Genomic DNA, 23,906 nt, shown 5'->3' on the forward strand with positions numbered 1-23,906 from the left:
CTCCTGACCTCGTGATCCACCCGTCTCGGCCTCCCAAAGTGCTGGGATTACAGGCGTGAGCCACTGCGCCCAGCCCTAAAAACAGAATGTTGAGTAATGGAATGGGGAGGGGTCCAGGGCATGCTGTTTAATGAACATTCATAATTGCAACAGCAGTATGATGAATGGGACAAAGATAAAAATAGCAATTGGCCAGATGCAGTGGCTCATTCCTGTAATTCCAGCACTTCGGGAAACTGAGGCGGGAAGCTCGACTGAGTCCAGGAGTTAAGAGACCAGCCTGGGAAACACAGTGAGACCCCGCCTCTACGAAAGTTAGCCGGGCGTGGTGGCACGCACCTGTAGTTCAGCTACTCTGGAGGCTGAGGTAGGAGGATCGATTGAGGCCAGAAGTTCAAGGCTGCAGTAAGCTATGATGGCGCCACTGCACTCCAGCCTGAGTGACAGAGTCCAACCTTGTCTTTAAAAAAATAAAAATTAAAAAAGCAGTAACGAAAGTATAAGAGGCTCAAGTTTAATGAATAAACGGCAAGTAAAAGTAGACTAAAGGCAAAATCATGAATAATGTTGTAATAGGAGCCCAAGGCATGACGGATAATAAACCTGAATGAATGGGCCAGAGGCAGAGTGATGAATAATGGAAAAATAGGGACCGGGGGCAAGGGAGGTAACGGACAGGAGTTCATGGATCCAAAACATGATGGCTAATTAGAGAAGGGCCGGAAGAACGACGAAAGTGAGCAGGCAGGCTGGAGCTAAAAGTAGTCTGGGCAATGAAGCTCAAATGAATGGGGCAGAGGCATGATGGGTAATGGGAGAGGAATGAATGGGCCAAAGATAGAAGCCGCAGTGACGCGAGGAACAAGAGGCATGATGGGTAACGAAAGGGGTGGGTCTAAGGCAACTGTTTCGCTAAGAGGTGATGAGGGCATTGTGGGTAACGAGGAGCAGCGCAGGGTTCGCAGAACAGATTAGAATTCTCCCGAGGCACTCTGGGAAGGGCCAGCACTTCCGGTTTTAGGTCGGCTACTCCGAACCAGAGGTGGGGTGGGGGCCCGGCTGCCGCGGTGCCTGGTGGGACGCGAGGCCTGACCTTGCTGCCTAGCCGCCTCTGCCGCGCAACCCACCTTTACCTGTCCTTCGACCCTGGAACGTTAGCCAATGAGAGTACCAAGCTGATACGCCACCAAGGTCGACCCCGTACACGCTGGAGCCAATCAAAATGCTGCAAGGGTCAAAGCCGACCAATTATCACAGCAACCTCGCCGCGGGGCGGAATCAAAAGAGGGCCTCCTCCAGGAGAGAGGCGGGGCGATGCCTCAGCGGGCGTGGCAAAATGCTCAGCACAGACCAATGGCGGGTTAGCACCGGAACCCGCGGCGACGCGAGCCAATAGGCGCAGGCGCTGCGAGCCAATGGGAAGGGTGGGAGGGGCGCCGTGGCTACCCTGCGAGTGAGAACCAATACAAAAGGACATTTCAGGGAAAGTGGGCGGGACTTTATGCACAAGTCCAATGGGAAGACCGAGTCTTGACGCTGGTGGGCGGGCCTCAGGGCACACTAAACCAATGGGCTAGGTGGGGCGGGGCGACGGTGGTGGCGGCGGCGGCAGCGGGTTCGGTTGCGCGTGGCGCACGGGGTGGGAGCGGAGCCCAGGCCGGGAGCAGGCGCCGCCGCCAGTGAGAACCGGGGCCGGAGCCGGGTGCGGATTTGCTGGGGCTGAGTCGGGGGCGCGCGGGCCCTGACCTCTGCCCTCTGACCTCTCCCCTAGCAGGCGACCATGGGGAACGTGTTGGCTGCCAGCTCGCCGCCCGCAGGGCCGCCACCGCCGCCTGCGCCGGCCCTCGTGGGGCTGCCGCCACCTCCGCCCTCGCCGCCGGGCTTCACGCTGCCGCCGCTGGGAGGCAGCCTGGGCGCCGGCACCAGTACGAGTCGAAGTTCGGAACGGACCCCCGGGGCTGCAACCGCCAGCGCCTCAGGGGCCGCCGAGGATGGGGCCTGCGGCTGCCTGCCCAACCCGGGCACATTCGAGGAGTGCCACCGGAAGTGCAAGGGTGAGGGGCGAGGGGCCCCCGCTGGGCTGCGATGGCCTGGATCTCGGGGGAAGGGGGAGGACACTGGGGACTCTGGGATTTGGCGCGCACCATTGGAATTATTTAACAGCACTAGGAGGTGATGTTGGGATCGAATGGTGGAACGTTGGACTTGGGGCTTAGAATGATGGAATCAAATGCTGGAAACGGGATGGAATGTCATAGCAGTAGAGAAAAGCCTTTAGGGACCTGAGGAGCCCCGGGATCAGCCAAGCCAGACTTCTCTTGTGATCGGGAAGGCAACTGAGGCCCAAGGTCACGGTGTCAGCAAGGTGTCAGCGAGGTTCCTTGGGTATGGGACCCAAAGCCTCCGGATCCCAGCCTGGAGCAATTAGAGTAGTAGTAGTGGTGGAGATTTATGGAGTTCTGTTCTGGTGTTCATTATACGTTAACTCATTAGATCCTTGGGACAATTCTGTGTGGTGAGGGTCCCATCTTTCAGATGATGAGTTTGACCTAAAGTTGCTCAGCTTGGTGGCAGTGAGATTTGAGCAAGCAAAGGCCCTGGCCCTGTCTAACTAGGCTGTACTGCCTCTTTACAGGTGGAATCCTTTGTGAGATGTTCTGCTGTGGGTCTCTGGAGAGAGCTGGGGGTGGTAGGGAAGGAAGAGATGAGAGTTGGTGTGGGGTTGGAGTGGAGTGTGACAGCGTTTCTCTTCTCCAGAGCTGTTTCCCATTCAGATGGAGGGTGTCAAGCTCACAGTCAACAAAGGGTTGAGTAACCATTTTCAGGTGAGCCTTCCTGGTGTCCTTACCCACCAGAGATCGTCCCCGCCGTCCCCCTCCCTGCATCTGCACACTCGGCCCAATTACTCCTCCCTCAAGAGCTGGGCTCCCTGATACTTGAAAAGACTCGGAGATATAGTGCCAGACTGACTACTCAGTTTGGGGACCTAGAATCCAGAGGTACTGTCTCCCCATAGCAGCTAGGCTGGAGTGAAGGAACAGGTCTGTGGGCCTACCGGCAGCACCTCCTTTCTCTGAGTCTCTTAGTCAGGCCGTGCCTCCCAGTCTTCATCCCCTGCCCAGCCCAGAGACCTTGTCCTTGCCCTCTTCAGTGGGCAAGCCTATCTGTCCAGTATCGTCACAGCTCTCGCTTTCCTTCCAGGTCAACCACACAGTAGCCCTCAGCACAATCGGGGAGTCCAACTACCACTTCGGGGTCACATATGTGGGGACAAAGCAGCTGAGTCCCACAGAGGTGAGCTTCCTTTTTCATCCATTCATTGTATCCTTCTAATAACAAATTTGTAGCCAAATGTCAAGCTAAGACGGCCTCATCAGGAAAAGGTCACAGCTACCGAGAGCCTGGAGATGGGGATTGCATCTCTCCGAGGTGCACTGGGACACAAATAATTCCTTCATCCAGCAAACATCCGCCAAACCCCTGCTCTCTGCCTGGCCCCATGCTGAGCAGTGCTGGGGATGTGGCCACAGCCACCCTGTCACCAGACAGCGATGACCCAGGGTGGAAAGGGCTGGACTGTAGATCATGCAGAACTTTGAATGCCAGACTAGGCTTTGGACTTTCTCTAGGGGGTTGTGGAGAGTCATGGCATGGTTTGGTCAAGGGAAAGACGTGGTCCACAGGTTCCCGCTGTAGAAATCTCTGGGGCATCTCTGGGGTGGCCATGTGGGGGCTAGTTATTAGGAAGGGCAAAACTGGAGGCCCAGACAGGGTTGGGGGGACTGAATGAGGTCTCTGCTTCTGTCATTTCCCTTCAGCAAATGTGTTTATTCTGCAAACCTTCATTGCACAACACATTCTGTGCCCAGCCCTGTGCTGGCACACATGACTGAAACAGCATGGGACTCACCCGTGGGGCAGGGGACAGACTGTTCCCAGAGAGTAACAAGCCAGGATGGGCAAGGCTGACATGGGGGAACCCAAAGGTCGGGGAGCCTAACTCAGCTTAGGTGGTCAGAGAGCACTTCGTGGAGGAGGGGACCCCCATCCGAGGCTTTCTGACCCTAGGCTTCTCACCCCGGCCCATCTCACATACTTGCACAGTGCACCACCTCTGACCCCTTCCGTTCTCTCTGCCTCACAGGCGTTCCCTGTACTGGTGGGTGACATGGACAACAGTGGCAGTCTCAACGCTCAGGTCATTCACCAGCTGGGCCCCGGTCTCAGGTCCAAGATGGCCATCCAGGTGAGTGGGGCACGGAGGCTGCTGCTCCCCTCGGCCACCGTGAGCAGGGAGCCGCCCTCACACCCCCTCCTCTCCACAGACCCAGCAGTCGAAGTTTGTGAACTGGCAGGTGGACGGGGAGTATCGGGGCTCTGACTTCACAGCAGCCGTCACCCTGGGGAACCCAGACGTCCTCGTGGGTTCAGGTAAGAGGCGGAGGGCTTGGAGGGTGGTCACAAAACTGCAGTTCTGGCTTTGCCAGCAAATCCACCCCATTTGTGAACCTCCTTTTCTGCCACTGGAGAAGTGGCTCAGCAGGAGTGATTTTGAAACATCAGGCAACATACTACAGTGGGTGAGACGGTCACCCACTGACCATGAGTGGGTGAGTCAGAGCAGTCTTTTTTTTTTTTTTTTTTGAGATGGAGTCTTGCTTTATCACCCAGGTTGGAGTGCCGTGGCACGATCTTGGCTCACTGCAACCTCCATCTCCTGGGTTCATGCAATTCTCCTGCCTCAGCCTCCCGAGTAGCTGGGATTACAGGCATGCGCTACCACGCCTGGCTAATTTTTGTATTTTTAGTAGAGACAGGGTTTCACCACATTGGTCAGGCTGGTCTTGAACTCCTGACCTCAAGGGATCCACCCACCTCAGCCTCCCAAAGTGCTGGGATTACAGGTGTGAGCCACCACGCCCAGCCAGTCAGCGCAATTTTAACTGAGATTTTCTTTTGTATTAAAAAATGTTTTAAGATGGGGTCTTGCTGTATTGGCCAGGCTGGTCTTGGAACTCCTGGCTTCAAGCAATCCTCCCACCTTGACCTTCCAAAGTGCTGGGATGACAGGCGTGAGCCACCTCGCCTGGCCAGGGAAACAGCTTTTCAGCCTGCAAGTAGTGCAGTCGGGACTCGTGAAAGGAACTTGAGGGAGGATGGTCCCCTGGTTGCATAAGGCTTTGCAGAGCCTTGGCCTTCGCTCTGAGTGAGTCTGGGGCTTTCGGAAACCAAGGCATAGCTTCTCACAGGACCCTGCAGCTGGCGTAGAGAGCAGACTCCAAAGGGGGTACCACTGGGAGGGAGTGGACGGGGAGAGGAGGTTGGATTCTGGATGTTGTTTGAAGGCAGAGCTGCCAGGATTTGTTGAGACCGGATGGAGGCGATGACTCTGTAGTTTTTGGCTGGAACTGGAAGGATGGAGTTTCGGATTGCCAGCTTTGTGTCTTTGTGCAGCCATCCACTGTGTCGTGGAGAGCAGGCTCTTGAGCGCTGAGTCCTGAGTGAATGACTCGTGCAGGCGGGGAGGGGAGCTAGGGTTGGCCTTGGACCCCTGGGAGTGCCTAGGGAGAGTCACCACTTCTCGCTGCAGGAGCCCAGGGAGACTCAAAAGTGTTGACTTTTGAGCTGCCAGAGGAGGAGAAGGGGCTACCCCGGCTGGGGGACAGGAGCAAGAAGATTCCAGGCAGGGAGAAGCAGGAACAGGGGTGAGGGAAGGGAAGGGCCATGGCAGAAAACCCAGGAGACAGGGAAGCTGGAGGTGCAGCAGGTGCAGAGAGGCCTCCTAGGTGAGGCTGATCTGTAGGGGCCCCATGAGGAAGAAACATTTCCTGTCCCCAACTCACCTGGTGACATCACCCCATCTTCTCATACACTACAGTTGAACCACATGAGCCTTTTTTGTTGGTTTGTTTTTGTTTTTGAGACGGAGTCTTGCTCTGTTGCCCAGGCTGGAGTGCTGTGGTGCAATCTCGGCTCACTGCAACCTCTGCCTCCCTGGTTCAAGCGATTCTCCTGCCTCAGGCTCCCTAGTATCCCTAGTAGCTGGGACTACAGGCGCGCGCCACCATGCCTGGCTAATTTTTGTATTTTTAGTAGAGACAGGTTTTCGCCATGTCGGCCAGGCTGATCTCGAACTTCTTACCTCAAGTGATCCACCCGCCCCGGCCTCCCAAAGTGCTGGGATTACAGGTGTGAGCCACCGCGCCCGGCCGACCATGCAAGCTTTTCTGACGGTTCCTGAAACCACCGAGTTGGTTCTACCCCAGGACCGACGCACACTCTGTCCCTGCTGCATGGAATTCTTCCCTCTGGTCTTGACATGACTGGGAAGGCTTGCGTGCGCATGTCGCCCTCTGTCGTCCACCATTGTCCCCATCTTGCAAGGCCAAGAGGAGGTTCTCCACTAAGGGCACATGGCCAGTGGGACTCCAGTGTCCCTGCTCTTCACGGCGCCAGCAACCCCGTTCCCTGTGCCGCCTCGCTCGCCTGGTCCTTTCGTGCTCCCCAGCACTGGCCTCCTGGAGCCCAGGGCCACCAGTGACGCTTTGGTCTCTAGTCCTTTCCAGTGCCTCTTCCTTCCCCCAGACACCAGTGAGAACAGGGCCTGCCGTGTGCCGGTCAGGGCTGAGCTCTCGAGTCTCTTGCCACCAACAGCTCCGACTTGACCCAGGGTGTCTCTACCTCCAGGCGGCTCTGTGACCTCCGGCAAGTGGTTCCAGCCCTTCTGGGCTTCAGTCTCCTCATCTGTCACTTGGGCACAATAGAAGCAACTACCTCCCAGTGAAGGAGTCCATGAGAGGGCCCGACTTCTCGGCCTCAGCACTGGGCCACATGCACAGTCACCACTTGCTCCACTCTGGCATCTCCATGGGGACAATGCCCGCAGGCACCCCCATTTCACAGATAAGGAAAGCGAGGCCCAGGGGTGAAATCAGTTGCCCAGGGTGACACAGCCAGGAAGCAGAGGAGCTGGGATTTGAATGGAAGCTTAATTCAGGAGCCCGTGAGCCTCCCCAGCCCCTCCCAATGGTGACAGCTCCTTTTCTGCTTCACTCTGAGCACCTCATGTGTGCCCAGCCCTGGGCTGGGACACAGCAGTGACCGAGACAGCCCATTCCTGCCCTCATGGGGGTCCCAGGTCAGGCACAGTGGCTCACACCTGTAATCCCAGCACTTTGGGAGGCTGAGGTGGGCGGATCGCTTGAGATCGGGAGTTCAAGATCAGCCTGGGCAACATAGCAATACCCTGTCTCTACAAAAAAAATTAGAAATTAGGCATATGGTGGTACATGCCTGTAGTCCCAACTACTGGGGACGCTGAGCTGGCAGGGCACATGCCTATAGTCCCAGCTACTTGGGAGCCTGGGAAGGGGGAGTGGTTCTATTCTGAAGCTGAGGCCAAGCCATCCAAGGCCTTGCAGGTGTGCTGAGGAACCCATATCTTCTCAGGGCACGAGGGAGCCATGGCAGGTTCTGGGCAGGGGGTCAACAGGGTCAGGTTTGTGCTTTAACATGATCCCTCTGTCTGCTGTCTGTGAGGTCACTTGAAGTTGGGGCATGAGACTAGAGAGGAGGCTGTGGGTAGAGAAACTGGGGGGGTGGCCCAGGAGATGGGAAGGATGGTTAGAAAGATACTTGAGGGTCTCATGGCCTCAGTTCCAACAGTCCCTGGAACTCAGAGGCCAGAGATTCTAAGTCACTCACTCTAGATGGCTGCTTTTCCCTCTGGGCTTCAGTCTCCCCCTTGATTGAATGAGGGGATAACACTGACCAGAGTGGTAATGGTAGTGATTTTTTTTTTCTTTTCTTCCCCTGCCCCACCTCACATACCTCTGCCCTGAGACGCAGTCTCTGTTGCCCAGGCCAGAGTGCAGTGGCACAGTGTCAGCTCACCTCAACCTCCACCTTCTGGGTTCAAGTGATTCTCCTGTCTCAGCCTCCCAAGTAGCTGGGATTACAGGCACGCACTGCCACACCCGGCTAATTTTTGTATTTTTGCGTCGTGGCACATGCGTGTAATCCCAGGTACTCGGGAGGCTGAGGCAGGAGAGTCACTTGAACCCGGGAGGCAGAGGTTGCAGTGAGCCGAGATGACGCCTTTGCACTCCAGCCTGGGCAACAAGAGCAAAACGCCCCATCTCAAAAAAAAAAAAAAAGAGAGAGAGAGGGAGAGATGGGGGTCTCGCCATGTTGCCCCAGCTGGTCTCAGACTCCTGGGCTCAAACAACCCTCCTGCCTCAGCCTCCCAAAGTGCCAGGATTACAGGCGTGAGCTACTGTGCCCCGCCCGTGTGATGGTGATTCAACAACCAGTGGGGGGTTCGGGGATTCATTTGCTTCATCTCCTCTGGGAAGGAGAGTCACACAGTCGCTTGCCCGAGCCCATGGGGACCAGCTGCAGCCTACTTCTGATCTCAGCCTCCCCAGAAGATGCCACCAGGGCACTGGCCATGAACTCACGGCCTCTCTCACACCCACCAGGCTCATCTTGGGGGTTGCCGCCTAACACTCAGCCCCTCTGAGAGCTCCACCCAGCCATGCCTGCAGGTATGAAAGGCCCCTATTCCTGCAGCTCCAGAGAGCTGGCTCCAGGCTGGCTCCATGCTAGCAGGCCAGCCTGCTCCCACTGTGGGGCCCCTAGTCTGCCCCTCTGGTCATCTTGGTCTGGGAAGCATCTTCGCACCTGCTTTGCTCTGTGCTGTCTCAGCTTCTCTGTGTGCCCTCAGTCTCGTGGCCCCCAACCTCCCTTCCCTTCTCCACGTGTCTTCCTCTCCAGGGCTGCACCCTAGGAGATTGCTCGATCGTGGTGGATTTCTCAACTGTGAATCTTCAGTCCCTCTTCCCCCTTCATTTCTGTCTCTGCAGATGTGTTGTTTCTTTTTTTTTTTTTCTTTTTTTTTTTTTTTTGTCTTTTTGAGATGAAGTCTTGCACTGTCTCCCAGGCTGGAGTGCAGTGGCACAATCACAATCTCAGCTTACTGCAACTTCCGCCTCCCGGGTTCAAGCGATTCTCCTGCCTCAGCCTCCTGAGTAGCTGGGACTACAGGTGTGCACCACCACACTCAGCTAATGTTTGTATTTTTAGTAGAGACAGGGTTTCACCATGTTGGCCAGGCTGGTCTCGAACCTCCGACCTCAGACGATCCACCCACCTCAGCCTCCCAAAGTGCTGGAATTACAGGTGTGAGCCACCGTGCCCAGCCTCTTTTTTTCTTTAAAAATTTTTTAGGCCGGGCGCGGTGGCTCATGCTTGTAATCCCAGCACTTTGGGAGGCCGAGGCAGGCGGATCACGAGGTCAGGAGATCGAGACCACGGTGAAACCCCTTCTCTACTAAAAATACAAAAAATTAGCCAGGCATGGTGGCGGGCTCCTGTAGTCCCAGCTACTCGGAGAGGCTGAGGCAGGAGAATGGCGTGAACCCGGGAGGTGGAGCTTGCAGTGAGCCGAGATAGTGCCACTGCACTCCAGCCTGGGCGACAGAGCGAGACTCCATCTCAAAAAAAAAAAAAAAAAATTAAATTTCTTATTTTTTGAAACAGGATCTCTGTTGCCCACGTTGGAGTGCAGTGGCGTGATCATAGCTCAGTGTAACCTTGACCTTCTGAGCTCAAGTGATCCTCCTGCCTCAGCCTCCCAAGTAGCTGGGACTATAAGCATGTGCCATCATGCCTGGCTACGTTTTTAAATTTATTTATTTGTTGTTTGTTTGCTTATTGGGACAGATTCTCACTCTGTCACTCAGGCTGGAGTGCAGTGGCACTATCATGGCTCACTGCAGCCTCCACCTCCTGGGCTTAAGCAATCCTCCCACGTCCACCCCCTTAGTACCTGGGACTACAGGTGTGCACCACCTCACCCAACTAATTTTTGTATTCGCTATGTTTCCCAAGCTGGTTTCGAATTCCTGGGCTCAAATGAACCCACTTTGGCCTCCCAAACTGCTGGGATTACAACAAGCATGAGCCACTGTGCCTGGCCTTGATTTTTTTTTTTTTTTTTATGATAATCTGTAGTTAGATGAAGTTTTTAAATTTTTTGTAGAGATGGGGTCTCACTATGTCACCTAGGCTTGTCTCCAACTGCTGACCTCAAGCTGTCCTCTTGCCCCAGCCCTCCAAAGCATTGGGATTACTGGCATGAGCCATTGCATCTGGCTTTTTTTTTTTTTTTTTTTTTTTTTTTTTTTTTTTGAGATGGGGTCTCACCATGTTGCCCGGGCTGGCTTCGAATGCCTAGGCTCAAGCAATCCTCCCTTCTCAGCCTCCCAAATAGCTGGGATTACAGGCACGTGCCACCACGCCAGGCTTGTTTTCTTTCCCTGTCCCTCCCTCTCTATTTCCCACTCTCTTCCTCCCCAATTCTTCTGGCCCTATAAAATCACATTTGTGGCCTGTACCCTGCTAGGCTCGAAAGACACCAAAGTGAATCCATCTCCATCCTGAGGCTTGAAAAGGCAGCCCAAAGGTGGCAGTTCTCTTGTTCAGCAAGCACTCCCTACGGTGGAGGGACACAGGAACGCAGACTTGGACCTCAGTGCAGCAAGTCCCAGCCACAGCTGAGCACTCGATTCCTCACAACCCCAAGAGGCAGTTAGGTTCACAGAGAGATGATGCCAGCGTCCATGGTCACCAGCCAGCCTGTGGCAGGGCTGGGATTCGAACCCAGGCTGTGCATATTTACCCACTCTACCCAATGGCCTCTCAGCAGCAGAGTGGCTCAGAGCCTGGGTTTGGGAGGTGTGGAGGCTTGGATTCTGCCCTTGACACATTTTGTGAGCATGAGTGAGTGACTTACCCTGTAAGCTTCTATAAGTGGTGGTGACCCCCTCTGTAAGTGGGGGTGGATAAATGCTGACCACATGGGCTTGTGTCGACCAGATGAGGTCCTTCAGGTAATGCAGTCATAGCAGGGCCTGGGACGCTGACCTCAGCGGTAGGGAACCCCTGGGCGATGGGTTAGGAGAAAGGAGCCCTTGAGGGAGGCCTGAGAGCAAGCCCAAGCCTCCAGCCGGGGTGAGCCTAGAGGGCTTCCTGGAGGTGGAGTCTAGCCTGGCACTCAGGGTGGGTGGAAACTGATCGTCATTTTGCCCACAGGAATCCTCGTAGCCCACTACCTCCAGAGCATCACGCCTTGCCTGGCCCTGGGTGGAGAGCTGGTCTACCACCGGCGGCCTGGAGAGGAGGGCACTGTCATGTCTCTAGCTGGGAAATACACATGTGAGCCTGGCGCCTGGGTCCGAGGGTGGAGGGGCTGGGCCCCTGGACTCCTCCTGGGTCTGAGGGAGGACGGGCTAGGGCCCTGGACACTCAGGTCTGAGGGAGGAGGCCTGGGTTCCCAGATGCCCAAATCCCCTTGGTAATGAGACCCCGCCTCCACCCCACTCTCTGACAGTGAACAACTGGTTGGCAACGGTAACGTTGGGCCAGGCGGGCATGCACGCAACATACTACCACAAAGCCAGTGACCAGGTGAGTGGGTGCAGGGACTAGCTGGTGCTGCCAGGGGCTGCTGGGCCTGGAAGTCCAGGTGGGGCCACTTGCTAATTCTCATGTGTTGCTCCGGCCCCTCCAGCTGCAGGTGGGTGTGGAGTTTGAGGCCAGCACAAGGATGCAGGACACCAGCGTCTCCTTCGGGTACCAGCTGGACCTGCCCAAGGCCAACCTCCTCTTCAAAGGTAAAGGTCTCGGTTCCCCTACGCGGGAAACAGGCAGGAGGTGACTCAACTCTGAGTGGATGTGTGGGCCACCACAGGTGCTGGAGGACAGTGTGCTGCCACCCTGTGGGCCTCCACATTACCAGGGAACACTTGTTAAAAGGTAGGTGGGGCCGGGTGCGGTGGCTCACGCCTGTAATCCCAGCACTTTGGGAGGCCAAGGCGGGCCGAGGTAAGGAGATTGAGACCATCCTGGCTAACACGGTGAAACTCCGTCTCTACTAAAAATACAAAAACAAAATTAGCCGGGTGTGGTTGCGGGTGCCTATAGTCCCAACTACTGAGGCTGAGGCGGGAAAATGGTATGAACCCAGGAGGCGGAGCTTGCGGTGAGCCGAGATCGTGCCACCGCACTCCAGCCTGGGTGACAGAGCAAGACTCCATCTCAAAAAAAAAAAAGTAGGTGGACAACCCTCTACTATGTTTTATGCTTGGAAAAAAAAAGTAGGTAGAGCAGCCAGGCGTGGTGACTCACGCCTGTAATCCCAGCATTTTGGGAGGCCAAGCCAGGTAGAATACTTGAGGCCAGGAGTTGGAGACCAGCCTGGCCAACGTGGTGAAATCCCCTCTCTACTAAAAGTACAAAAATTAGCCAGGTGTGGTAGCGTGCTGCAACTGTAGTCCCCGCTACTTAGGAGGCTGAGGCACAAGAATCACTTGAACCTGGGAGGCGGAGGTTGCAGGGAGTTGAGACTGCACCACTGCACTCCAGCCTGGGTGACAGAGTGAGACTCCATCTCCAAAAAAAATAAAATGAAATAAATAAATAAATGTTAAAAAAAATCTGGTGGAGCATCTGATGGGTGTTTGGGCCAAGCTGGAGCTTTGTCCATCCCCTCTTATTTTTCTGCACTTGACTCTCTTATTTTTCTGAGACTGGTCTCCCTCTGTCGCCCAGGCTAGAGTGCAGCAGTGCAACTGCGGCTCACTGCAGCCTCCACCTCCCGGGCTCAAGCAGCCTTCCCACCTCAGCCTCCTGAGTAGCTAGGACCACAGGTGTATGCCACCAGGCCCAGCTAATTTTTTTGATAGTTTTGGGAGACATGGGGGTTTCACCATGTTGCCCAGGCTGGTCTCGAACTCCTGGACTCAAGCCTTGGCCTCCCAAAGTGCTGGGATTATAGGTGTGAGCCACCACACCCAGCCAGGGTAGAAGGCACTTTGGAAGCCTCGAGCCTGCCCCATTCATCTTACGTTAGTGGAAACTGAGGCTTCCAGAGGTTTCAAGGTCACAACTAAATCCAGAACCTCATCTCAGGCACACTGGTCGTAGTCCCAATGTCCAGTCTTAAGTCTTCTTGGATATCTGTGGCTCACAGATTTTGGGTGTTTGAGCCTCCTGCTGAGCACTGCTGGGGCCACAGCGGTGACCAGCCCTGTCTTCACGGGACTCAGTGAGAGGAACAGATTCATCCGCAGAGTGGGCAGGACTAGGTTGGGGGAACCCAGGGGTCTAGAGGGCTTTTCAGAGGGCAGGGGTCACTGAGCGGAGAGCAGAGGAGGAGTGAGCCATTTGCTCCAGCGTGAAGTTGTTGGTGTGATGGGGTTTCAGGGTGGCAGGAGCAGTGTGGTTAAAGGTCTGGAAGCTGTCGGCATGTGGCTGGTATCCAAGGTGGCCAGGAACTCTGCATGGATATGGTGGGAAGCTGGCACGCCTCTCACCTCAGCTCTTCCCTGCAGGCTCTGTGGATAGCAACTGGATCGTGGGTGCCACGCTGGAGAAGAAGCTCCCACCCCTGCCCCTGACACTGGCCCTTGGGGCCTTCCTGAATCACCGCAAGAACAAGTTTCAGTGTGGCTTTGGCCTCACCATCGGCTGAGCCCTCCTGGCCCCCGCCTTCCACGCCCTTCCGATTCCACCTCCACCTCCACCTCCCCCTGCCACAGAGGGGAGACCTGAGCCCCCCTCCCTTCCCTCCCCCCTTGGGGGTCGGGGGGGACATTGGAAAGGAGGGACCCCGCCACCCCAGCAGCTGAGGAGGGGATTCTGGAACTGAATGGCGCTTCGGGATTCTGAGTAGCAGGGGCAGCATGCCCAGTGGGCCTGGGGTCCCGGGAGGGATTCCGGAATTGAGGGGCACGCAGGATTCTGAGCACCAGGGGCAGAGGCGGCCAGACAACCTCAGGGAGGAGTGTCCTGGCGTCCCCATCCTCCAAAGGGCCTGGGCCCGCCCCGAGGGGGCAGCGAGAGGAGCTTCCCCATCCCCGGTCAGTCCACCCTGCCCCGTCCACTTTCCCATCTCCTCGGTATAAATCATGTTTATAAGTTATGGAAGAACCGGGACATTTTACAGAAAAAAAACAAAAAACAACAAAAAATATACGTGGGAAAAAAAACGATGGGAGGCCTCCGTTTTCTCAAGTGTGTCTGGCCTGTTTTGAGCATTTCATCCGGAGTCTGGCCGCCCTGACCTTCCCCCAGCCGCCTGCAGGGGGCGCCAGAGGGCCGGAGCACGGAAAGCAGCGGATCCTTGATGCTGCCTTAAGTCCGGCTCAGAGGGGCGCAGCGTGGCCTGGGGTCGCTATCTTCCCATCCGGAACATCTGCCCTGCTGGGGGACACTACGGGCCTTCCCTTGCCTGAGGGTAGGGTCTCAAGGTCACTTGCCCCCAGCTTGACCTGGCCGGAGTGGCTATAGAGGACTTTGTCCCTGCAGACTGCAGCAGCAGAGATGACACTGTCTCTGAGTGCAGAGATGGGGGCAGGGAGCTGGGAGAGGGTTCAAGCTACTGGAACAGCTTCAGAACAACTAGGGTACTAGGAACTGCTGTGTCAGGGAGAAGGGGCTCAAGGACTCGCAGGCCTGGGAGGAGGGGCCTAGGCCAGCCATGGGAGTTGGGTCACCTGTGTCTGAGGACTTGGTGCTGTCTGGATTTTGCCAACCTAGGGCTGGGGTCAGCTGATGCCCACCACGACTCCCGAGCCTCCAGGAACTGAAACCCTGTCTGCCCCCAGGGTCTGGGGAAGGAGGCTGCTGAGTAGAACCAACCCCAGGTTACCAACCCCACCTCAGCCACCCCTTGCCAGCCAAAGCAAACAGGCCCGGCCCGGCACTGGGGGTTCCTTCTCGAACCAGGAGTTCAGCCTCCCCTGACCCGCAGAATCTTCTGATCCCACCCGCTCCAGGAGCCAGGAATGAGTCCCAGTCTCTCCCAGTTCTCACTGTGTGGTTTTGCCATTCGTCTTGCTGCTGAACCACGGGTTTCTCCTCTGAAACATCTGGGATTTATAACAGGGCTTAGGAAAGTGACAGCGTCTGAGCGTTCACTGTGGCCTGTCCATTGCTAGCCCTAACATAGGACCGCTGTGTGCCAGGGCTGTCCTCCATGCTCAATACACGTTAGCTTGTCACCAAACATACCCGTGCCGCTGCTTTCCCAGTCTGATGAGCAAAGGAACTTGATGCTCAGAGAGGACAAGTCATTTGCCCAAGGTCACACAGCTGGCAACTGGCAGAGCCAGGATTCACGCCCTGGCAATTTGACTCCAGAATCCTAACCTTAACCCAGAAGCACGGCTTCAAGCCCCTGGAAACCACAATACCTGTGGCAGCCAGGGGGAGGTGCTGGAATCTCATTTCACATGTGGGGAGGGGGCTCCCCTGTGCTCAAGGTCACAACCAAAGAGGAAGCTGTGATTAAAACCCAGGTCCCATTTGCAAAGCCTCGACTTTTAGCAGGTGCATCATACTGTTCCCACCCCTCCCATCCCACTTCTGTCCAGCCGCCTAGCCCCACTTTCTTTTTTTTCTTTTTTTGAGACAGTCTCCCTCTTGCTGAGGCTGGAGTGCAGTGGCGAGATCTCGGCTCACTGTAACCTCCGCCTCCCGGGTTCAAGCGATTCTCCTGCCTCAGCCTCCCAAGTAGCTAGGATTACAGGCGCCCGCCACCACGCCTGGCTAACTTTTGTATTTTTAGTAGAGATGGGGTTTCACCATGTTGGCCAGGCTGGTCTCAAACTCCTGACCTTAAGTGATTCGCCCACTGTGGCCTCCCAAAGTGCTGGGATTACAGGCGTGAGCTACCGCCCCCAGCCCCTCCCATCCCACTTCTGTCCAGCCCCCTAGCCCTACTTTCTTTCTGGGATCCAGGAGTCCAGATCCCCAGCCCCCTCTCCAGATTACATTCATCCAGGCACAGGAAAGGACAGGGTCAGGAAAGGAGGACTCTGGGCGGCAGCCTCCACATTCCCCTTCCACGCTTGGCCCCCAGAATGGAGGAGGGTGTCTGTATTACTGGGCGAGGTGTCCTCCCTTCCTGGGGACTGTGGGGGGTGGTCAAAAGACCTCTATGCCCCACCTCCTTCCTCCCTCTGCCCTGCTGTGCCTGGGGCAGGGGGAGAACAGCCCACCTCGTGACTGGGGGCTGGCCCAGCCCGCCCTATCCCTGGGGGAGGGGGCGGGACAGGGGGAGCCCTATAATTGGACAAGTCTGGGATCCTTGAGTCCTACTCAGCCCCAGCGGAGGTGAAGGACGTCCTTCCCCAGGAGCCGGTGAGAAGCGCAGTCGGGGGCACGGGGATGAGCTCAGGGGCCTCTAGAAAGAGCTGGGACCCTGGGAACCCCTGGCCTCCAGGTAGTCTCAGGAGAGCTACTCGGGGTCGGGCTTGGGGAGAGGAGGAGCGGGGGTGAGGCAAGCAGCAGGGGACTGGACCTGGGAAGGGCTGGGCAGCAGAGACGACCCGACCCGCTAGAAGGTGGGGTGGGGAGAGCAGCTGGACTGGGATGTAAGCCATAGCAGGACTCCACGAGTTGTCACTATCATTTATCGAGCACCTACTGGGTGTCCCCAGTGTCCTCAGATCTCCATAACTGGGGAGCCAGGGGCAGCGACACGGTAGCTAGCCGTCGATTGGAGAACTTTAAAATGAGGACTGAATTAGCTCATAAATGGAACACGGCGCTTAACTGTGAGGTTGGAGCTTAGAATGTGAAGGGAGAATGAGGAATGCGAGACTGGGACTGAGATGGAACCGGCGGTGGGGAGGGGGTGGGGGGATGGAATTTGAACCCCGGGAGAGGAAGATGGAATTTTCTATGGAGGCCGACCTGGGGATGGGGAGATAAGAGAAGACCAGGAGGGAGTTAAATAGGGAATGGGTTGGGGGCGGCTTGGTAAATGTGCTGGGATTAGGCTGTTGCAGATAATGCAACAAGGCTTGGAAGGCTAACCTGGGGTGAGGCCGGGTTGGGGCCGGGCTGGGGGTGGGAGGAGTCCTCACTGGCGGTTGATTGACAGTTTCTCCTTCCCCAGACTGGCCAATCACAGGCAGGAAGATGAAGGTTCTGTGGGCTGCGTTGCTGGTCACATTCCTGGCAGGTATGGGGGCGGGGCTTGCTCGGTTCCCCCCGCTCCTCCCCCTCTCATCCTCACCTCAACCTCCTGGCCCCATTCAGGCAGACCCTGGGCCCCCTCTTCTGAGGCTTCTGTGCTGCTTCCTGGCTCTGAACAGCGATTTGACGCTCTCTGGGCCTCGGTTTCCCCCATCCTTGAGATAGGAGTTAGAAGTTGTTTTGTTGTTGTTGTTTGTTGTTGTTGTTTTGTTTTTTTGAGATGAAGTCTCGCTCTGTCGCCCAGGCTGGAGTGCAGTGGCGGGATCTCGGCTCACTGCAAGCTCCGCCTCCCAGGTCCACGCCATTCTCCTGCCTCAGCCTCCCAAGTAGCTGGGACTACAGGCACATGCCACCACACCCGACTAACTTTTTTGTATTTTCAGTAGAGACGGGGTTTCACCATGTTGGCCAGGCTGGTCTGGAACTCCTGACCTCAGGTGATCTGCCCGTTTCGATCTCCCAAAGTGCTGGGATTACAGGCGTGAGCCACCGCACCTGGCTGGGAGTTAGAGGTTTCTAATGCATTGCAGGCAGATAGTGAATACCAGACACGGGGCAGCTGTGATCTTTATTCTCCATCACCCCCACACAGCCCTGCCTGGGGCACACAAGGACACTCAATACATGCTTTTCCGCTGGGCGCGGTGGCTCACCCCTGTAATCCCAGCACTTTGGGAGGCCAAGGTGGGAGGATCACTTGAGCCCAGGAGTTCAACACCAGCCTGGGCAACATAGTGAGACCCTGTCTCTACTAAAAATACAAAAATTAGCCAGGCATGGTGCCACACACCTGTGCTCTCAGCTACTCAGGAGGCTGAGGCAGGAGGATCGCTTGAGCCCAGAAGGTCAAGGTTGCAGTGAACCATGTTCAGGCCGCTGCACTCCAGCCTGGGTGACAGAGCAAGACCCTGTTTATAAATACATAATGCTTTCCAAGTGATTAAACCGACTCCCCCCTCACCCTGCCCACCATGGCTCCAAAGAAGCATTTGTGGAGCACCTTCTGTGTGCCCCTAGGTACTAGATGCCTGGACGGGGTCAGAAGGACCCTGACCCACCTTGAACTTGTTCCACACAGGATGCCAGGCCAAGGTGGAGCAAGCGGTGGAGACAGAGCCGGAGCCCGAGCTGCGCCAGCAGACCGAGTGGCAGAGCGGCCAGCGCTGGGAACTGGCACTGGGTCGCTTTTGGGATTACCTGCGCTGGGTGCAGACACTGTCTGAGCAGGTGCAGGAGGAGCTGCTCAGCTCCCAGGTCACCCAGGAACTGAGGTGAGTGTCCCCATCCTGGCCCTTGACCCTCCTGGTGGGCGGCTATACCTCCCCAGGTCCAGGTTTCATTCTGCCCCTGTCGCTAAGTCTTGGGGGGCCTGGGTCTCTGCTGGTTCTAGCTTCCTCTTCCCATTTCTGACTCCTGGCTTTAGCTCTCTGGAATTCTCTCTCTCAGCTTTGTCTCTCTCTCTTCCCTTCTGACTCAGTCTCTCACACTCGTCCTGGCTCTGTCTCTGTCCTTCCCTAGCTCTTTTATATAGAGACAGAGAGATGGGGTCTCACTGTGTTGCCCAGGCTGGTCTTGAACTTCTGGGCTCAAGCGATCCTCCCGCCTCGGCCTCCCAAAGTGCTGGGATTAGAGGCATGAGCCACCTTGCCCGGCCTCCTAGCTCCTTCTTCGTCTCTGCCTCTGCCCTCTGCATCTGCTCTCTGCATCTGTCTCTGTCTCCTTCTCTCGGCCTCTGCCCCGTTCCTTCTCTCCCTCTTGGGTCTCTCTGGCTCATCCCCATCTCGCCCGCCCCATCCCAGCCCTTCTCCCCGCCTCCCACTGTGCGACACCCTCCCGCCCTCTCGGCCGCAGGGCGCTGATGGACGAGACCATGAAGGAGTTGAAGGCCTACAAATCGGAACTGGAGGAACAACTGACCCCGGTGGCGGAGGAGACGCGGGCACGGCTGTCCAAGGAGCTGCAGGCGGCGCAGGCCCGGCTGGGCGCGGACATGGAGGACGTGTGCGGCCGCCTGGTGCAGTACCGCGGCGAGGTGCAGGCCATGCTCGGCCAGAGCACCGAGGAGCTGCGGGTGCGCCTCGCCTCCCACCTGCGCAAGCTGCGTAAGCGGCTCCTCCGCGATGCCGATGACCTGCAGAAGCGCCTGGCAGTGTACCAGGCCGGGGCCCGCGAGGGCGCCGAGCGCGGCCTCAGCGCCATCCGCGAGCGCCTGGGGCCCCTGGTGGAACAGGGCCGCGTGCGGGCCGCCACTGTGGGCTCCCTGGCCGGCCAGCCGCTACAGGAGCGGGCCCAGGCCTGGGGCGAGCGGCTGCGCGCGCGGATGGAGGAGATGGGCAGCCGGACCCGCGACCGCCTGGACGAGGTGAAGGAGCAGGTGGCGGAGGTGCGCGCCAAGCTGGAGGAGCAGGCCCAGCAGATACGCCTGCAGGCCGAGGCCTTCCAGGCCCGCCTCAAGAGCTGGTTCGAGCCCCTGGTGGAAGACATGCAGCGCCAGTGGGCCGGGCTGGTGGAGAAGGTGCAGGCTGCCGTGGGCACCAGCGCCGCCCCTGTGCCCAGCGACAATCACTGAACGCCGAAGCCTGCAGCCATGCGACCCCACGCCACCCCGTGCCTCCTGCCTCCGCGCAGCCTGCAGCGGGAGACCCTGTCCCCGCCCCAGCCGTCCTCCTGGGGTGGACCCTAGTTTAATAAAGATTCACCAAGTTTCACGCATCTGCTGGCCTCCCCCTGTGATTTCCTCTAAGCCCCAGCCTCAGTTTCTCTTTCTGCCCACATACTGGCCACACAATTCTCAGCCCCCTCCTCTCCATCTGTGTCTGTGTGTATCTTTCTCTCTGCCCTTTTTTTTTTTTTTAGACGGAGTCTGGCTCTGTCACCCAGGCTAGAGTGCAGTGGCACGATCTTGGCTCACTGCAACCTCTGCCTCTTGGGTTCAAGCGATTCTGCTGCCTCAGTAGCTGGGATTACAGGCTCACACCACCACACCCGGCTAATTTTTGTATTTTTAGTAGAGACGAGCTTTCACCATGTTGGCCAGGCAGGTCTCAAACTCCTGACCAAGTGATCCACCCGCCGGCCTCCCAAAGTGCTGAGATTACAGGCCTGAGCCACCATGCCCGGCCTCTGCCCCTCTTTCTTTTTTAGGGGGCAGGGAAAGGTCTCACCCTGTCACCCGCCATCACAGCTCACTGCAGCCTCCACCTCCTGGACTCAAGTGATAAGTGATCCTCCCGCCTCAGCCTTTCCAGTAGCTGAGACTACAGGCGCATACCACTAGGATTAATTTGGGGGGGGGGGTGGTGTGTGTGGAGATGGGGTCTGGCTTTGTTGGCCAGGCTGATGTGGAATTCCTGGGCTCAAGCGATACTCCCACCTTGGCCTCCTGAGTAGCTGAGACTACTGGCTAGCACCACCACACCCAGCTTTTTATTATTATTTGTAGAGACAAGGTCTCAATATGTTGCCCAGGCTAGTCTCAAACCCCTGGGCTCAAGAGATCCTCCGCCATCGGCCTCCCAAAGTGCTGGGATTCCAGGCATGGGGCTCCGAGCCCGGCCTGCCCAACTTAATAATACTTGTTCCTCAGAGTTGCAACTCCAAATGACCTGAGATTGGTGCCTTTATTCTAAGCTATTTTCATTTTTTTTCTGCTGTCATTATTCTCCCCCTTCTCTCCTCCAGTCTTATCTGATATCTGCCTCCTTCCCACCCACCCTGCACCCCATCCCACCCCTCTGTCTCTCCCTGTTCTCCTCAGGAGACTCTGGCTTCCTGTTTTCCTCCACTTCTATCTTTTATCTCTCCCTCCTACGGTTTCTTTTCTTTCTCCCCGGCCTGCTTGTTTCTCCCCCAACCCCCTTCATCTGGATTTCTTCTTCTGCCATTCAGTTTGGTTTGAGCTCTCTGCTTCTCCGGTTCCCTCTGAGCTAGCTGTCCCTTCACCCACTGTGAACTGGGTTTCCCTGCCCAACCCTCATTCTCTTTCTTTCTTTCTTTTTTTTTTTTTTTTTTTTTTTTTTTTTTTGAGACAGAGTCTTGCTCTGTTGCCCAGCCTGGAGTGCAGTGGTGCAATCTTGGTTCACTGCAACCTCCACTTCCCAGATTCAAGCAATTCTCCTGCCTCAGCCTCCAGAGTAGCTGGGATTACAGGCGTGTCCCACCACACCCGACTAATTTTTGTATTTTTGGTAGAGACAAGGCTTCGGCATTGTTGGCCAGGCAGGTCTCGAACTCCTGACCTCAAGTAATCTGCCTGCCTCACCCTCCCAAAGTGCTGGGATTACAGGCATGAGCCACCTCACCCGGACCATCCCTCATTCTCCATCCTTTCCTCCAGTTGTGATGTCTACCCCTCATGTTTCCCAACAAGCCTACTGGGTGCTGAATCCAGGCTGGGAAGAGAAGGGAGCGGCTCTTCTGTCGGAGTCTGCACCAGGCCCATGCTGAGACGAGAGCTGGCGCTCAGAGAGGGGAAGCTTGGATGGAAGCCCAGGAGCCGCCGGCACTCTCTTCTCCTCCCACCCCCTCAGTTCTCAGAGACGGGGAGGAGGGTTCCCACCAACGGGGGACAGGCTGAGACTTGAGCTTGTATCTCCTGGGCCAGCTGCAACATCTGCTTGTCCCTCTGCCCATCTTGGCTCCTGCACACCCTGAACTTGGTGCTTTCCCTGGCACTGCTCTGATCACCCACGTGGAGGCAGCACCCCTCCCCTGGAGATGACTCACCAGGGCTGAGTGAGGAGGGGAAGGGTCAGTGTGCTCACAGGCAGGGGGCCTGGTCTGCTGGGCCTGCTGCTGATTCACCGTATGTCCAGGAGCTGGAGCAGCACCCTCTCAGAGCCTCAGTTTCCCCAGATGTCAATGAGAGAATCAGCATCAGCCACATCTCCCACCTGAAGAATCGAACCTTGAGTTCTCACCTTTAAGAATTTTTTTTTTTTTTTGAGACAGTGCCTTGCTCAGTCGACCACGCTGGAGTGCAGTAGCACGATCATCAATCACTGCAGCCTCCAACTCAAGCAACCCTCCTGCCTCAACCTCCTGAGTAGCTGGGGCCACAGGCACCCACCACCATGCCTGGCTAATTCTTTCTTTTTTGAGATGGAGTCTCACTCTGTCGCCCAGGCTGGAGTGCAGTGGCACCATCTTGGCTCACCGCAACCTCTGCCCCCCGGGTTCAAGCAATTCTCCTGCCTCAGCCTCCTGAGTAGCTAGAATTACAGGCGCACACCACCACACCAGGCTAATTTTTGTATTTTTAGTAGAAACGAGGTTTCACCACGGTGGTCAGGTTGGTCTCAAACTCCTGACATCAGGTGATCCACCCGCCTCGGCCTCCCAAAGCACTGGGATTACAGGAGTGAGCCACCATGCCTGGCCATATTTTAAACTTTTTTGTAGAGATGGGGTCTTACTATGTTGCCCAGGCTGATCTCAAACTCTTGGGCTCAAGCAGATCCTCCTGCCAAAGCTTCCCAAAGTAGTTGGATTACAGGTGTGAGCCACCACGCCCCACCAACCTATGAAGATGTCTAAGCAGACAGGGTGCCCTATCTCACCACATCCCCAGTCAGATCCAGAGGTGGGACAAGGATGGGAAGGAGGTTCCAGAACAAAGGCTGGCAGGGAGTCGTATGGGACAGGAGCTGACCCAGCAACCATCCACAGAGACATCCTGGAGCCTGGGAAGGAGAAGGACAAAGAGCCCCCTTTTTTAAATTTTTTTTATGTTTTTGAGACGGAGTCTCACTCTGTCACCCAAGCTGGAGTGCAGTGGCACAATCTTGGCTCACTGCAACCTCCACCTCATGGGTTCAAACGACTCTCCTGCCTCAGCCTCCTGAGTAGCTGGGACCACAGGTGCACACCACCATGCCTGGATAATTTTTGAATTTTTGGTAGAGACGGAGTTTCACCATGTTGGCCAGGCAGGTCTCGAACTCCTGACCTCAAGTGCTCCGCCCACCTTGGCCTCCCAAAGTTCTGGGAATACAGGCGTGAGCCACTGCAACCAGCCAGTAGCCCCCATCTTTGCCCCTCGCTGAGCCCTACTGGATGTTCTTGGTTATGCGACAGTTTCCCCATCTATTAAAGAGAAACCCCTATAGCAGAGGGGAGGATGAGGTTGGAAAAGCAGGAGCATTGTTATGCTATTCTTGTGGGGTCTGGGAAGCAGACATCTGGGTGGATGTTTGGGGGGTGCTGGGCTTAGTTGGGGAAGTAGGGGGGCCCCTGGGGCTGACAGGGACTGGAAGCTCTGAGCTGGCCAGAGGGATGTTGCAATCCTGCCAGGGTCTTGTCTATGCTGTCCTTTTCACAACCATCCCCCTACTGCCAGGCTGACACGTGGTTGCGGGGGCACAAGGCCAGCCAACCTAGAGTCTGAGGCTAGGCGGAGGACACCCTCCCCACCAGCTGCCAGGGTCACTGGCGGTCAAAGGCAGCTGGTGGGGAAGGCATTGGACTCCAGCCTTGGGGGACGGATGTAGTGATGGTGGGAAGCAGGCTTGGTGCCAGGAGGGGCGTCAGAGGGTGAATAAAAGCAGATAGAGTGTTTGGGGGAGGTAGCCAGCCAAAGGGGGTGAGGCCCGGTGGAAGGGAAGAAGGGACATACACGCAGAGCTTTGCAGCTGAGGGTTTTAATTTTTTGAGATGGGGTCTCTGTCCCACCAGGCTGGAGTGCAGTGGCACAATCACAGCTCACTGCAGCCTCGAACTCCTGGGCTCAAGCAATCTTCCTACCTCAGCCTCTTGAGTAGCTGGGACTACAGGCATGCGCCACCACGCTCGGCTAATTTTTGAACTTTTTTGTAGAGATGAGGTCTCCCTATATTGCCCAGGCTGGTCTCGAACTCCCAGGC

The 23,906-nt window shown here is 56.5% G+C and overlaps 2 protein-coding genes across 10 annotated transcripts, besides 6 other annotated features; both read left to right on the top strand.

Moving 5' to 3' along the window:
• Nucleotides 175-676: an enhancer, noted in NCBI's record as "H3K27ac hESC enhancer chr19:45393067-45393568 (GRCh37/hg19 assembly coordinates)". NCBI's record gives its function as "activates a minimal SCP1, AML or CMV promoter by ChIP-STARR-seq in naive H9 embryonic stem cells {active_cell/tissue: H9 hESC(naive)}" and the evidence as "EXISTENCE:reporter gene assay evidence [ECO:0000049][PMID:30033119]".
• Nucleotides 846-1,005: an enhancer, noted in NCBI's record as "active region_14774". NCBI's record gives its function as "activates an Ori minimal core promoter by ATAC-STARR-seq in GM12878 lymphoblastoid cells {active_cell/tissue: GM12878}" and the evidence as "EXISTENCE:reporter gene assay evidence [ECO:0000049][PMID:35858748]".
• Nucleotides 1,316-1,955: a silencer, noted in NCBI's record as "silent region_10744". NCBI's record gives its function as "represses an Ori minimal core promoter by ATAC-STARR-seq in GM12878 lymphoblastoid cells {active_cell/tissue: GM12878}" and the evidence as "EXISTENCE:reporter gene assay evidence [ECO:0000049][PMID:35858748]".
• On the top strand, nt 1,619-14,054 carry TOMM40 (translocase of outer mitochondrial membrane 40). Of its 5 annotated transcripts, none has more exons than NM_001128916.2 (10): nt 1,619-1,679; nt 1,772-2,054; nt 2,758-2,825; nt 3,202-3,294; nt 4,145-4,246; nt 4,326-4,431; nt 11,095-11,217; nt 11,393-11,469; nt 11,573-11,675; nt 13,395-14,054. In NM_001128916.2, exons 2-10 carry the CDS (start codon nt 1,781-1,783, stop codon nt 13,532-13,534), a joined length of 1,086 nt encoding a protein of 361 aa, NP_001122388.1. In that variant the 5' UTR covers nt 1,619-1,679; nt 1,772-1,780; the 3' UTR covers nt 13,535-14,054. The 5 variants fall into 5 exon arrangements, with proteins under 5 accessions (NP_001122388.1, NP_006105.1, XP_005258468.1 ...); NM_006114.3 differs by having other exon boundaries at nt 1,775-2,054; XM_005258411.5 differs by lacking the exon at nt 13,395-14,054 and adding an exon at nt 11,753-13,388.
• Nucleotides 15,478-16,280: an enhancer, noted in NCBI's record as "NANOG-H3K27ac-H3K4me1 hESC enhancer chr19:45408370-45409172 (GRCh37/hg19 assembly coordinates)". NCBI's record gives its function as "activates a minimal SCP1, AML or CMV promoter by ChIP-STARR-seq in naive H9 embryonic stem cells {active_cell/tissue: H9 hESC(naive)}" and the evidence as "EXISTENCE:reporter gene assay evidence [ECO:0000049][PMID:30033119]".
• On the top strand, nt 16,161-19,758 carry APOE (apolipoprotein E). 5 transcript variants are annotated; one of them, NM_001302688.2, is made up of 4 exons: nt 16,161-16,288; nt 16,967-17,032; nt 18,125-18,317; nt 18,898-19,758. In NM_001302688.2, the coding sequence occupies exons 1-4, from the start codon at nt 16,234-16,236 to the stop codon at nt 19,613-19,615; spliced, it is 1,032 nt and encodes a 343-aa protein (NP_001289617.1). In that variant the 5' UTR covers nt 16,161-16,233; the 3' UTR covers nt 19,616-19,758. The 5 variants fall into 5 exon arrangements, with proteins under 5 accessions (NP_001289617.1, NP_001289620.1, NP_000032.1 ...); NM_001302691.2 differs by having other exon boundaries at nt 16,161-16,206; nt 16,952-17,032; NM_000041.4 differs by having other exon boundaries at nt 16,161-16,206.
• Nucleotides 17,083-17,885: an enhancer, noted in NCBI's record as "H3K4me1 hESC enhancer chr19:45409975-45410777 (GRCh37/hg19 assembly coordinates)". NCBI's record gives its function as "activates a minimal SCP1, AML or CMV promoter by ChIP-STARR-seq in naive H9 embryonic stem cells {active_cell/tissue: H9 hESC(naive)}" and the evidence as "EXISTENCE:reporter gene assay evidence [ECO:0000049][PMID:30033119]".
• Nucleotides 23,009-23,768: an enhancer, noted in NCBI's record as "H3K27ac-H3K4me1 hESC enhancer chr19:45415901-45416660 (GRCh37/hg19 assembly coordinates)". NCBI's record gives its function as "activates a minimal SCP1, AML or CMV promoter by ChIP-STARR-seq in naive and primed H9 embryonic stem cells {active_cell/tissue: H9 hESC(naive and primed)}" and the evidence as "EXISTENCE:reporter gene assay evidence [ECO:0000049][PMID:30033119]".

The sequence above is a fragment of the Homo sapiens genome, chromosome 19 (genome assembly GCF_000001405.40).
Source record: "Homo sapiens chromosome 19, GRCh38.p14 Primary Assembly".
In the NCBI taxonomy this organism is placed as follows: Eukaryota; Metazoa; Chordata; class Mammalia; order Primates; family Hominidae; genus Homo; species Homo sapiens.